Source organism: Homo sapiens, chromosome 7 (genome assembly GCF_000001405.40).
Source record: "Homo sapiens chromosome 7, GRCh38.p14 Primary Assembly".
NCBI classification, from domain to species: Eukaryota; Metazoa; Chordata; class Mammalia; order Primates; family Hominidae; genus Homo; species Homo sapiens.
The window spans coordinates 87,485,459-87,499,574 of NC_000007.14; positions in this window are offsets into that span (position 1 = coordinate 87,485,459).

Genomic DNA, 14,116 nt, shown 5'->3' on the forward strand with positions numbered 1-14,116 from the left:
ACAAGAAAAAAACAAATAACCCCATAAAAAAGTTGGCAAAGGATATGAAGAGACACTTCTCCAAAGAAGACATTTATGCAGCCAACAAACATATAAAAAGAAGCTCAACATCACTGATCATTAGAGAAATGCAAATCAAAACCACAATGAGACACCATCTCATGCCAGTCTGAATAGTGATCATTAAAAAGTCAAGAGACAGTAGATGCTAGTGAGGCTGTGGAGAAATAGGAACACTTTTACACCGTTGGTGAGAATGTAAGTTAGTTCAATCATTGTGGAAGACAGTGTGGTGATTCCTCAAAGATCTAGAACCAGAAATACCATTTGACCCAGCAATCCCATTACTAGGTATACACCCAAAGGAATATAAATCATTCTACTATAAAGACACGTGCACACGTATGTTTATTGCAGCACTATTTACAATAGCAAAGACATGGAACCAACCCAAATGCCCATCAATAATAGACTGGATAAAGAAAATGTGGAACATATGCACCATGGAATACTATGCAACCATAAAAAGGGATGAGATCATGTCCTTTGCAGGGACATGGATGAAGCTGGAAGCCATCATTCTCAGCAAACTAACATAGGAACAGAAAACTAAACACTGCATATTCTCACTCATAAGTTGGAGTTGAACAATGAGAACACATGGACACAGGAAGGGGAACAACACACACTAGAGCCAATTGGGGGTGGAGGGGCAAGAAGAGGGAGTGTATTAGGACAAATAGCTAATGCATGCAAGGCTTAAAACCTAGAATGATGGATTGATAGGTGCAGCAAACCACCATGGCATACGTACACCTGTGTAACAAACCTACACATTCTGTACTTATCTCCCAGAACTTAAAGTAAAAAATAAATAAATAAAATAGCTATTTTGAGAAAACTCAAAGAAAGTCAAGATAACACAGAGAAGGAATTCAGATTTCTATCGGATAAAGTTAACAAAGAGATTGAAATAATTTAAAACAGTCAAGCAGAAATTCTGGAGTTGAAAAATGCAATTGACTTACTGAAAATGCATCGAGGTCTTTTAATGGCAGAATTGATCAAGCAGAAGAAAGAATTAGTGAGTTATTTGAAAATACACAGTGAATACACAAAACTACACACACAAAAAGAATTTAAAAAATGAAACACAACTATAAGATCTAGAAAATAGCATCAAAAGGGCAAATCTAATAGTTATTGGCCTTAAAAAGTAGGTAGAGAGAGTGATGGGGTAGAAAGTTTATTCAAAGGAATCGTAAGAGGGATTTCATCAACACTGGATCTGTCCCACAAGAAATGCTGACGGGAGTACTACAATCAGAAAGAAAGGGATGTTAATGAGCAGTAAGATCATCTGAAGCTACAAAACTCATGGTAATAATAAGCACATAGAACACAGACTATTTTAACAATGTAACTGTGGTGTGTAAACTACTCTTATCTTAAGTAGAAAGACTAAAAGGTGAACCAATCTTTTTTCAAGACATAGGCAGCACAATAACGTATAAATAGAAACAATAAAAAATTTAAAAGCAGAGAATGAGTTTAAGGTGTAAAGGTTTTTTCAGTTTTCTTTTTGCTTGTTTGTTTGTGCAAACAGTGTTAAGTTGTTATCAGCTTAAAATAATCAGTTATAAGATAGTATTTACAAGCCCCAGAGTAACCTCAAATCAACAAACCTACAACAGTTACACAAAAGATATAAAGCAAGAAATTAAAACATACCTTCAGAGAAACTACCTTCACTAAAAGGAAGACAGGAAAGAAAATAGAGAAGATCACAAAACAACCAGAAAACAAATAATAAAATGGCAGGAGTAAGTCTTTACTTATCAATAATAACATTGAATATAAATGGCCTAGACTCTCCAATCAAAAGTCATAGAGTCACTGAATGGATTAAAACAAAACAAAACAACACAAAACAAGACCGAATGATCTGTTGCCCACAAGAAACACACTTAATCCATAAAGATACACATAGACTGAAAATTAAGGGATAGAAAAAGATATTCCATGCCAATGGAAACAAAAAAAAAAAAAGAGGAGGAGTAGCTATACATGTATCAGACAAAATAGATTTCAAGACGAAAACTGTAAGAAGAAACAAGGTTACTATATAATGATAAAGGGGTTGATTCAGCAAGAGGATATAACAATTTTAAATATATATGCACCCAACACTGGAGCATCCAGATATATAAAGCACATATCTTTAGAACTGAAGAGAGAGATAGATCCTAATACAATAATACTTGAAGACTTCAACTTCCCACTTTCAGCATTGAACAGAACTTCCAGACAGAAAATTAACAAAGAAACATTGGACTTAATCTGCACTATAGACCAAATGGACCTGATAGATAGTTACAGAACATTTCATCCAACAAGTGCAGAATACACATTCTTCTTCTCAGCACATGGATCATTCAAGGATAGACCATATGTTAGATCACAAAATAAGTCTTAAAACATTCAAAAACATTGAAATAATATTAAGCATCTTCTCTGACCATGATGGAATAAAACTAGAAATCAATAACAACAGGAATTTTGGAAACTGTGCAAACACATAGAAATTAAACAATATGCTCTTGAAAGACTAATGGATCAATGAAGAAATTAAGAAGAAAATTGAAAAATTTATTAAACAAATGAAAATGGAAACACAACACACCAAAACCTATGGAATACAGCAAAAGTAGTACTAAGAGGGAAGTTTGAAGCTGTAAGTACCCATATCAAAAAAAGGAAAAACTTCAAATAAGTAACCTAATGGTGCATCTTAAAGAACTAGAGAAACAAGAGCACACCAAACCAAAAATTAGTAGAAGAAAAGAGATAATAAAGATGAGAGCAAAAATAAATGAAACAGAGATGAAGAAAACAATGAAAAAAGATCAATGAAAGACAAAAATTAGTTTTTTGAAAAAATAAACAAAATTGACAAACATTTAGCCAGACTAAGAAAAAAGAAGATCCAAGCAAACAAAATCAGAGATGAAAAGGGCAATATTACAACTATACCATAGAAATTCAAAGGATCATTGCTGGCTACTAGGAGCAACTACATGACAATAAATTGGAAAATCTAAAAAAAAAAAAAAAAATAGATAAGTTCCTAGACAGAACCTACCAAGACTGAACCGTAAAGAAATCCAAAACCTGAACAGACCAATAATAAGTAACAAGATCAAAGCCATAATAAAAAGTCTCTCAGCAAAGAAAATCTTGGGACCCAATGGCTTCACTGCTCAATTCTGCCAAGCATTTAAAGAATAACTAATACCAATTCTATTTAAACTATCCTGAAAAATAAGGAGGAGGGAATACTTCCATACTCATTCTACAAGGCCAGTATTATCCTGCTACCAAAACAAAAGACACATAAAAAAGAAAAAACTACAAGCCAATATCACTGATGAGTATTGATGAAAAAAATCCTCAACAAAATACTAGCAAACTTATTTTAACAACACATTAAAAAGATCATTCATCATGATCAAGTGGTATTTTTCCCAGGGAAGAAAGATGGTTCAACATACACAAATCAATCAATGTGATACATCATATCAACAGAATGAAGAAAAGCTATATGATCATTTTGATTGATACAGAAAAAGCATTTGACAAATTCCAACATCCCTTCATGACAAAAACCATCAAAACACTGAGTATAGAAGAAACATACCTCAACACACACAAAAAAGCCATATGTGACAGATGCATGGCTAGTATCATAGTGAATAGTGAAAAACTGAAAATCTTTCCTCTAAGATGTGGAACAAGACAAGGATGCCCACTTTCACCACTGTTATTCGACATAGGACTGTAAGTCCTAGCTAGAGCAATCAGACAAGGAAAAGAAAGGACATCCAAATTGGAAAGGAAGAAGTAAAATTATCCTTGTTTGCAGATGGTATGATTTTATATTTGGGAACACCTAAAGAGTCCATCAAAAAACTATTCAAACTGATAAATAAATTCAGTAAAGTTGCAGCATACAAAATCAACATACAAAAATCAGTAACACTTCTATATGCCAACTGCAAACAATCTGAAAAAGAAATCAAGAAAGCAATCCCATTTACGATAGCTACAAATAAAATCAAACACCTGAAAAGTAACTTAAGAAGGGTAAGATCTCTAAAATAAGTGTTATAAATCATCAATGCAAGAAATTGAAAAGGACACCAAAAAATGAAAAGATACCCCATGTTTATGGATTGGAAGAATCAATGTTATTAAAATGTCCATACTATCTAAAGTGATCTACAGATTTAATGCAGTCTCTATCAAAACACCAGTGAAATTCTTTGCAGAAAAAAAAAATCCTAAAATTCATATGGAAACACAAGACCTAGAATAGCCAAAGCTATCCTGAGCAAAAAGAACAAAACTGGAGGAATCACATTACCTGACTTCAAATTATGCTACAGAGCTAAAGTAACCAAAGCAACATGGTACTGTCATAAAAGCTGGCCCCATACAGCACTGGAACAGAATAAAGAACCCCAAAATAAATCCATACATCTACAGGAAACTCATTTTCAGCAAAGATGCCAAGAATATACACTGGAGAAAGGACAGTCTTTTCAATAAATGGTCTGGGAAAACTGGATATCCATATGCAGAAGAATGAATAAAGGCCTCTATCTCTCACCTTATGCAAAAATCAAATCAAAGTGGACTAAAGACTTAAATCTAAGAAATGAAACTAAGAAACTGCCAAAAGAAAGCATTGGGGAAACTGTCCAGGACACTGGACTGGGCAAAGATTTTTTTTAGTAATATTCCATAAGCACAGTCAACCAAAGCAAAAATGTATAAATGGGATCACATCACATTAAAAAGCTTCTCCAGAGCATAGGAAACAATCTAAAAAGTGATGAGACACCCACAGAATGGTAGAAAATATCTGCAAACTATCCATCTGACAAGGGATTAATAACCAGAATATATAAGAAGTTCAAACAAACCTATAGAAAAAAAAACTCATAATCCGATTTAAAAATGGGCAAAAGATCTGAATAGACATTTCTCAAAAGAAGGCACACAAATGGCAAAGAGACATATGAGCATCATTGATCATCAGAGAAAAGCAAATAAAAACTACAATGTGATATCATCTTACCCCAGTTAAAATGACTTTTATCCAGATGACAGGTAATAATGAATGCTGGTGAGGATGTGGAGAAAAGGGAACTCTTGTATGCTGTTGGTGGGAATTAGTACACCCACTATGGAAAACAGTATGGAGGTGTCTCTGAAAACTAAAATTAGAACTAATATATGATCCAGCAATCCCACTCCTAGGAATATACCCAAAAGAAAGGAAATCAGTATATCAAAGAGATATTTGCACTTTCAAGTTTACTGCAGCACAATTCACAATAGCGAAGATTTGGCAGCAACCTAAGTGTCCATCAGCAGATGAATGGATAAAGAAATTGTGGTACATATACAAAATGGAGTACTATTCAATCATAAAAAATGAGATTCTGTCATTTGTAAACAACATGGATGGAACTAGAGGTTGTTATATTGAATGAAATAAGCCAGGCACAGAAAGACAAACTTCGCATGTTCTCACATATTTGAGGAAGCTAAAAAATGTAACAATTGAACTCATGGAGGTAGGAAGCAGAAGGATGACTACCAGAGGCTATGAAGGGTAGTGGAAGACAGTGTTACGGGAAACTGGGGAAGTTAATGGATATATAAAGAGAGTTAGAAAGAATAAATAAAACCTAGTATTTGATAGCACAATAGGGTGATTATAGTCAAAATAATTTAATTGTACATTTTAAAATAACAAAAGAGTATAATTTTATTGTAACACAAAAGATAAATGCTTGAGGGAATGGATTCCCCATTCACCCTGATGGGATTATTACATATTGCATGTCTGTATCAAAAAATAATAAATTTATACCCCCACTGTGTACACACAAAATTAAAAAATAAAAAAAGAACACCACAGATAAATCAAAATGGATTTTTTTACACTGCTTCAGCAGTGAAAGAAGTGTACTGCCTCATTTCCACAGATCGGGGTAGAAGTTCAGGTTTCTCGCATGATCTCCAATGACACTTGGGGTTGAGGGAGGTGGTCCTTGTTATTGCTGGGCAGAAGTGACAGTTCTGATTCCCCACTGGCCCTCTACTGATGTCTTTCTGGCTGGAAGGAGTAGAAGTGCACTGTTAGTCCCCCCACGTGGCCTCTATGGTGTTGGGGAGATGATCCTGTTACCATTAGGTAGTGTGGTAAGTCCTAAGTCTCCACTAGGCTTCCTCTTCCATTACCCCAGAGGGAAGTGGGTGGGGTGCCTCATTACTACAAGGTGGGAATGAAACATCTGTTCTCTACTTGGCCTTGTCTGACACTACCCTGGGGTGGGGGTAGACAGAGAGTGAGGTTGACATGCCTGGCAAGGGAGGAAGTCAAGTCTCCCTACTTTGCTTTTGCTGGAGTGAGTCTGGGTGGTGTCACAGTTTTTTCTACAATGTTTGGCTAGAGTAGAGTGACTGCTGTTTCAACGTGTTCTCTCTTGCTAGGCTGTCCCTTTCTGAGTCCTTTTACTAGGAAGGGCAGGACATTTTTGTCTGTGTACATTGGCATTTTTGGATTTTTGCCTTCTTTTGCTCCAAGTCTGAGATATAGGAGGCAAACAAACAAACCAGAAACTCACCACCATGTGTCATTCCTCAGATCCCAGGATCCTTAGCTAGTCTGTCTTATTCTCTCCACATTTCCATTGTCTTATGTTTGTTTTATTTATAATGTTCAGTGTTTTTAATTGTACTTAGTAGGACAAATAGGAAAAAGTATGTCTACTCCATTTTCCCAGAAGTTGCTGCCTAATTTTTTAAATCCACATTTCTCTAATAGGGTACAGAGGCAAAGGATGAATATTCTAAAATCAAATTAGCCAATCTTTGCGTTTGTTCATCAATAGAAGAAGGGCTGCAAAGTATTAGATAACAAGATTTATCTAAGTCATCTGCTCATTTTCCTCCTTCTCACTCTCTTACCCTCTCAGTAACATCCTGTCTATTTCATCTACTTACACAAATCTGTGTATTTTTCTAGATAAGACATGAAGGTGGGTGGACATTGTCTCAGTCCGGCCTCATGCTTACTCCACAGTAAAACATGAAATCAGATGCCAATAATTATAGACCTCGCCATAGCAGGACAATAGGCAATGTTAAAAAATGAGAGGATGTGCTCTTCATTTGTGTAGCCATAATTTATATACTAACTACACTAATTGCATTAATTATATGATGTTACATTATATTATACTACATTCGTTATACCTATTTTGCATCTTTACTCTTCTATTTGACAATGAGCTCCTTCAGGGAAGAGGATGAACCAAATCGGTTATCTGGAACATTGCAAGCCCCTGATAAATGCTCTTCTTTCTCTTCTTGCCCACTCCCTTTTCCACCACCAGCTAGTTCAGGAATTAAGGCAGAAAGACCAGGGGAGAAACATCCACAACTAATCTAGGCTTGAAGGCTTGAAGAAGACCTCTGAATGAATAACCAGGTAGGTCTCCATCAGTCCCTCAAGCTGGATCTTGCAGGAGGTGCTGGCCACCTTTCACCTGACCCCATACATCTTTGGAGATCCTGATTTATGCAGACACCAATGATTGGAAGGAAGGGTTGCGGTACCCTGTCTTCCACTTCCCTCTTTTAGAGTTCTGGCCAATTTTGTCAATATTTATTCATTTGTACAATAAATACTTATGGAGGAAGAGCAGGATGGAGTGAAAAGCATACCCACAGGCAAGGTTTTCCAAACTGTGACGTGAGGAATGCCAACAGGTGCTTAGTGATAACGAGTGTTCCATGATGAAGTAAGTTTGAGAAATGCTGCTTACCACACTCAGAAGATCACAATGCACATCACAGATCCTGAGAAGCTCTATAGTTAAAAAAAAGTCTTTTAACTTTGTTTCCAGTGTTTCCCCCTTTCCTGACACTGCAAAATACTCGCTGAAAGCACAATATTAATAATTTCTTTAAACTTATTCATAAAGCTACTCCTAAGAAAAATAATCCTAACAATTCCAAGAGCAGGGAAACAATGCCAAAGACAGATGCAGGTGAAGAATGGAGACATGGAATAAAGAAGGTGTGATGTTAATTTGACTGAGTCAAAAAGTAGATAAGGATATGGTGGAATATAAAAGAGATTTGATACAGTAGAGGCTAAGAACTAGGAGGAATTTAGACTTTCAGAGTTTATTGAGAGGATTTTGAGAAAGCAATGATTATACTGGTCAAGAATGGTGGATTCTTTTGCCATAATTTGAATTGTCATGTATCAGTCAAGGTCTCAGCATGAAACAAATGGCATATTCAAATTAGGATATTCAAGGAGGATGTAATGAAGGAACTATTTAGAAAGGTAGGAGTAGAACATAGGGCATAGTGGATATACCATAATAGATAGCAAAATATCTTGGGGCCACAAACACTGGGGAGGTGTATGGCCTTCCCTAGGCCAGCATGGATGAGGGAAAGGAGCAGTTCCCAGAAGCCATATTGAGCATCATGTAGATAGAACTGCTTCAAGAAGAGCAGTGATCCACCCCAACTGTCTCCAGGCACCCCCTTCAGCTGAACCCACAGAAGTCAACTTCCTAAAGTAAACAGCAGTGTGGAGGGGAGGGTGGAGAATAGATATGGAATGGCAAAAGGAAGATATCTGGCACATGTCTGAAGCTGAAGAATCTGGAAACTGCCAGCAGGTATTTTAACTCTACCATTTCCTGACTAGCTATGTCTGTTCATGATTCATGCAACACTTTTATTTGTTTTGTCCTTCCTTCTTCCTCTACTTTTACTTTAGGATCCAGGGGTACATGTGCAGATTTCCTACATGGGTAAATTGTGTGTTGCTGAGGCTTGGTGTACAAATGATCCTGTCATCTAGCTAGTGAGCATAGTACACAATAGGTAGTCTTCCAAAGCACACATGCCCCCACCTTTCCCTCTCAAGTAGGCCCCAGTGTCTATTGTTCCCATCTTTGTGTTCATGTATATTCAATGCTTAGCTACAAATTATAAGTGAGAATATGCAGTATTTGGTTTTCTGTTCCTGCGTTAGTTTGCTTAGGATAAGGGCTTCCACCTGCATCCATGTTGCTGCAAAGGACATGACTTCATTTTTTATGGCTGCATAGTATTCCATAGTATATATTTACCAAATTTTTGTTATCCAATCCAACATTGATGGGCATCTCCATTGATTCCATTTCTTTGCTATAGTGACTAGTGCTTTATGCAACACTTTGAAAGACAGCACCCATTGTGTCAAGACATTGTGTTGAGACAGTGAAGACACAAAGATAGTAAGATAGAGACTAGCCCTTAGGTATGTAAAATAGCTATAAACAGAGTGAAAATAGGAAATAATTAAAATATAGAGTGAAACATAAAGAAATACAGAAAGCATAAGGGAGTTCAGTGCAGAGAATTTTCATAGCTAACTTATGACTTTAGCCTTGATGGGCAATGCAATAAAATTGTTGGCTAAGGTAGCCTTTCTAGCATAAATGCAAATATCAAGAATTTTAAAAGAAGTATTTAAATCTAATTTCAGCTATCAATGAATGAATTTAATTTCATTACTATAACAAAAAATAATCCATAATCAAAATTTTAGCTACTCAAAAAAGTTGCTTTCTGAAGTAAAGTATATGATAAACACAAATTCATAAATGCTAATTTTTTTGTGAAACACCAGCATTTTGTGTTTAGTCTCTGACACTTTTAAACAGTCCTAAAAATATTTGTTCTCGTAAAGGAAATCCTTAGTATTGTTTTAAATAAACTTTAACCTATTTCCTTTTTGGCATATTTCTCTCCAGGCTTTGTCTATATGCATATGTTCTTGACCTGGACTCTCTGAATCCAAAGAACTTTATACCATTCTTTAATTAAAAGAGGTAGAATATTGTGGTCATGGGGTTTTTCAAATAATTCGGGAAATCTCAGCCATATTTTGGCTAGACCTGGCACTATCCCAAAATAACATGGAAAATCATTGATAAGTCCTGCATGAGTCATCTGTTTAAACTGAAGAATTGGGATAACGGTGTCATTGCCCATGCTGATCGAGACGTTTTGCACAAGAGAGAGTTGACAAGGGACAATGAACTCTTTCGGAAATTAAAAAATAATTTGTACTAAAATCTTGATGAAAATAGAAAGCCTCAACTGCAAACTGGCTTGAATATATAACTAAAATATTATATTTATGACTTAGATAATATTGTTTAGTTTTGTCTTTCTATTCTTGATTTAAAATAATATATATATAATATATATATATTTACACACACAAACATACATATATATTCCTTCCCTCACCTTGCCTTTCCCCCCATCCCCAAATAGAATAATGTGATTCCCTGCCTATGATATTAGAATGCTGTGTGCACCAACCCCCATGCTTGTGGTTGAAATTCTACAGATACAAAAGCTCTCTTGCAGTCTACCCACACATTCAGGAGTCACAAGGCAGGTGTCTGAAGTTGGTCCTTTTTTCCCTTTACTTATGGAATTTGTAAAGTGTTATATTTTCATCTTTATAATGGAAAAAGTAAAATGTGATTTATTTTACAAAATTTCACCGCACAGGTACATTTGAAAGAATAAGGCCACTCTAAAGTGAGGCATATCTCAACACTCATATTATTTCAAAAGAATCACAACAAAAATAAAAATAATAAAAGCTATTCTGGCACACAATATCCTTCAGGCTCAGGTCCTGCCTGGCCCTGCCCCATTCCTTGGGGCCTCTACCCACCCTTCCTCACACCCAACATCTAAAACTCTGACCGCACTGAATCACTTCTGGTTCCAGCCTTCTAAACTGTTCTATACTGCTCTCCACATCCACACTCCTCCTCTATTGTCCATCTGACATGCATCTATTCCATTATCCAGGAAGCTTTTTATTTAATAGACTTTCTTTTTTCGAGCATTTTTTAGATTCACAGCAAAATTGAGTGGAAGGTAGAGAGACTTCCCATGTACCTCCTATTTCTACACATTGATTGCCTTCCCACCAGAGTGGCACATTTATTGCAATGATTCCTCTACACTGACACATCATCACCCAAAGTCCAAATAGTTTATTTTAGGGTTCACTCTTGGTATTGTACATTCAGTGGGTTTGGGCAAATGCATAATGATATGTGTCTACCACTGTAGTATCTTATAGAGTAGTTTTACTGCCCTAAAAAATTATCTGTGCTTCATCCCTCACTCCCCCAATCTCTAGCAACCACTGATCTTTTTACTATCTCCATAGTCTTGCCTTTTCCAGAATGTGATGTAGTTGGAATTATACAGTTTGAACCTTTTCAGATTGGGTTCTTTCACTTAGTAATATGCATTTAATTTTCCTCTGTGGCTTTTCATGGCTCATTTCTCTTTAGCATTGCGTGATATTTCATTGTCTTGATGTAACACAGTTTTTCATCTATTTACCTTCCAAAGGACATCTTCGTTGCCCTGGAATATTTTTTAGCCCTTAAACCACTCTCCAGAGAGGTAACTGCTCTTTTCTTGGTCCCCACTACCACACCCCACCATCTTGCATCATGGCATCAATGCACATTACTAAACTTATGTCCTGTCTCCTAAGCTGTAAGCTCCTTGTCTAATCATTGTGCTCCCAATATCTAGGCCAGTAGGCACTTAAAATAATTGCTACATGGATAAATACAAAAATTCCTTTTCATGCAAGAGAAGTGGTAGCTTTGAAGAGCAAGAAAAATATGAAATGAAGGCAATCAGCTTTTTTTTTTGCTTATATCTTAAGTATTGGGTATTGTCTTAAATACTTCATTACAGTATTTAGTGCTCAACTAATTCAATGAGGTAGACATTGAAATTCCATTTTTTCCAATGCAGAAATAGGGGCTTAAAAAAAGTAAGTAACTTGCCCAAGAAGCCACACATTTTAGCAAACTGGCAGCCAGAACAGAAGCCCAGGTTTCTCTGACTGGAGAGCCTAGGAGCTTGGCTATACACCAAGCATAATCATACTCTTACACAGCGTCTTGTGTAGAGAAGGAAATCATTTAAATTTAGCCACCCAGTTGAGAAAGCGAAAACTGGGTTTCAACTCAAAGGTCACTTTTCCTTTTGACCCAAACTGACTCTTTTGAAAGAGCCCAGGTAAAAATATTTCATCATATATCTTTGCCCTTGCACATATCTGTAAGCATTCCTGCTTTTCTCTTTGCTATTCTGATTTCTCCAAACTGCAAGGGCAGAGGTCTTTCATCTCAGTGTCGGAAGTTCCAGCTGGGACAAAGGACTACAGTTGCAGGAAGTGCTCCCTGAAAATCTTGTGTTTAATCTTTGTTTTTTCCCAAGAGCAACAAATCTCTTATTTTTTTTCATTTAACAAATATTTTTATTGAAGACTTTTGATATGCCAAGTATTGATAGAGGTATTGATGTATACAATGATAAACCAGGTGCCCACCATGATATTGCAGCTAAGAGGGATTTTTTTGAAGATCAAGAGAGTTAAGGTCACTGAAAGTCCTTGATAGGCTCTGGAACTAGGAGGGTTATTACTTGTTCTGGTTATGAATTGGCTTAAAACAAATGGTTTTTATGATATCTTCTAGTTGTATAGATTGACTGGGCTCTGCTGAGGGTTCTCATCTCATGAGGTTGCGGTCAGATGCTTATTGGGTCCATCTTGGGGGCTGGCACTTGATGCTGGCAGTGGGCTAGGTCAGGTTACATAGTCACCCCATGTAACATGGGCTTTTCATAGAATAGTGACTGGATTCTGACAGTGCAGGATCATCACAGTTCAGGATCTGGTCCTTGGCTTAAAATACCCTGAAACCTATTTTGTCAAGCAGGGGTCTCAGAGGGAGACCCTGGAGATGGTGGGCACAGGACAGGAGCAGCAGAACCTTCACCAGGAGGATCCCCCCTGGTCCTGTGACCCATGCGTCCAGCTCGGGGCCCTCAGGTGGGGGCTGCAAAGAAGCTGGTTGTCCCTTGAAAGCTGGAGCAAGTGAGCAGGTACACTTGGACCTGAGGCTGTGGTTTTTCCCCAGGCTGAAGTGGATCTTGAGGTGGCAAGGAATGGAACAGCCTGGCGCCCTGGGAGAGTGGAGGGTGACTTTGAACTGGGCATCAGCAGATGTATGCCCAGCAGCCACTTGCTTTTCCATTACATGTGAATCAGCAGGGCCAAGTTCACCCTTGGAAAGAAGTTGTAAAAATCGGTTGATGCCTTTGAAGGCCTTTGTTTTGGAGGCTTCTTTGAAGGGTCTTGCATCCAGTTCTGACCTTGGAGCAAGTGTTAAGTGGCCTCGAGGAATGTCACTGAGGCTCCTTTTGGAACAGATTCAGGAAGAAAACGCTGTCTTGAAAAGTGCTCTCTTCTCTTTGTGCAGGGGAGATTCAATAAATATCTCTGTTGTATAACATTCCTTGTATTATGTAACTCTTAAAACTTTTACAAATGACTTTCATATACATCATCTGATTGTTCAGACTTAAAGGGTGTCAGACATCTGCTGTTGATGGCTGTGCTTTTTGAACAAGGGTAGTGAAGTAAAAACTCCCTCCCTTCCTGCCCACCCCCTGTTATGTCTCTTCCTCCATGTCTTACCCCTCCCCCTCCTCCCATCGCTAGGCTTGTTCTTTACTTCTTCTTTCTGGGAGGTGAGGTGAGAAGGGGGCTCCTACATAGCATCCTGTGTACCTGTCACCCAACTTTCTTCCATGATGACATGTAGTGACTGTAGTTCAAAATCAAATCCAGAACACTGAAATTGGTACAATACTGTTACTGTACTACTACAACTTTCATATATATATATTTTCTTTTCTAAAATTAAGAGCACACAATTTGCATAAGTCTTTTCTCTTTTATTCTGTATAGTGGGTAAGGCTCAGTCCTCAGGTGTTACTGTAATGATGGGCTTCCCTATTTTTCATGTACAATTACATGGCTTTAGATAGGAATCTTCTTTATATATTTTATATTAACAAAAGCCTTTTTAGATATTAATTTGTGATAAAATGAAACTGACCCAGAAAAAGT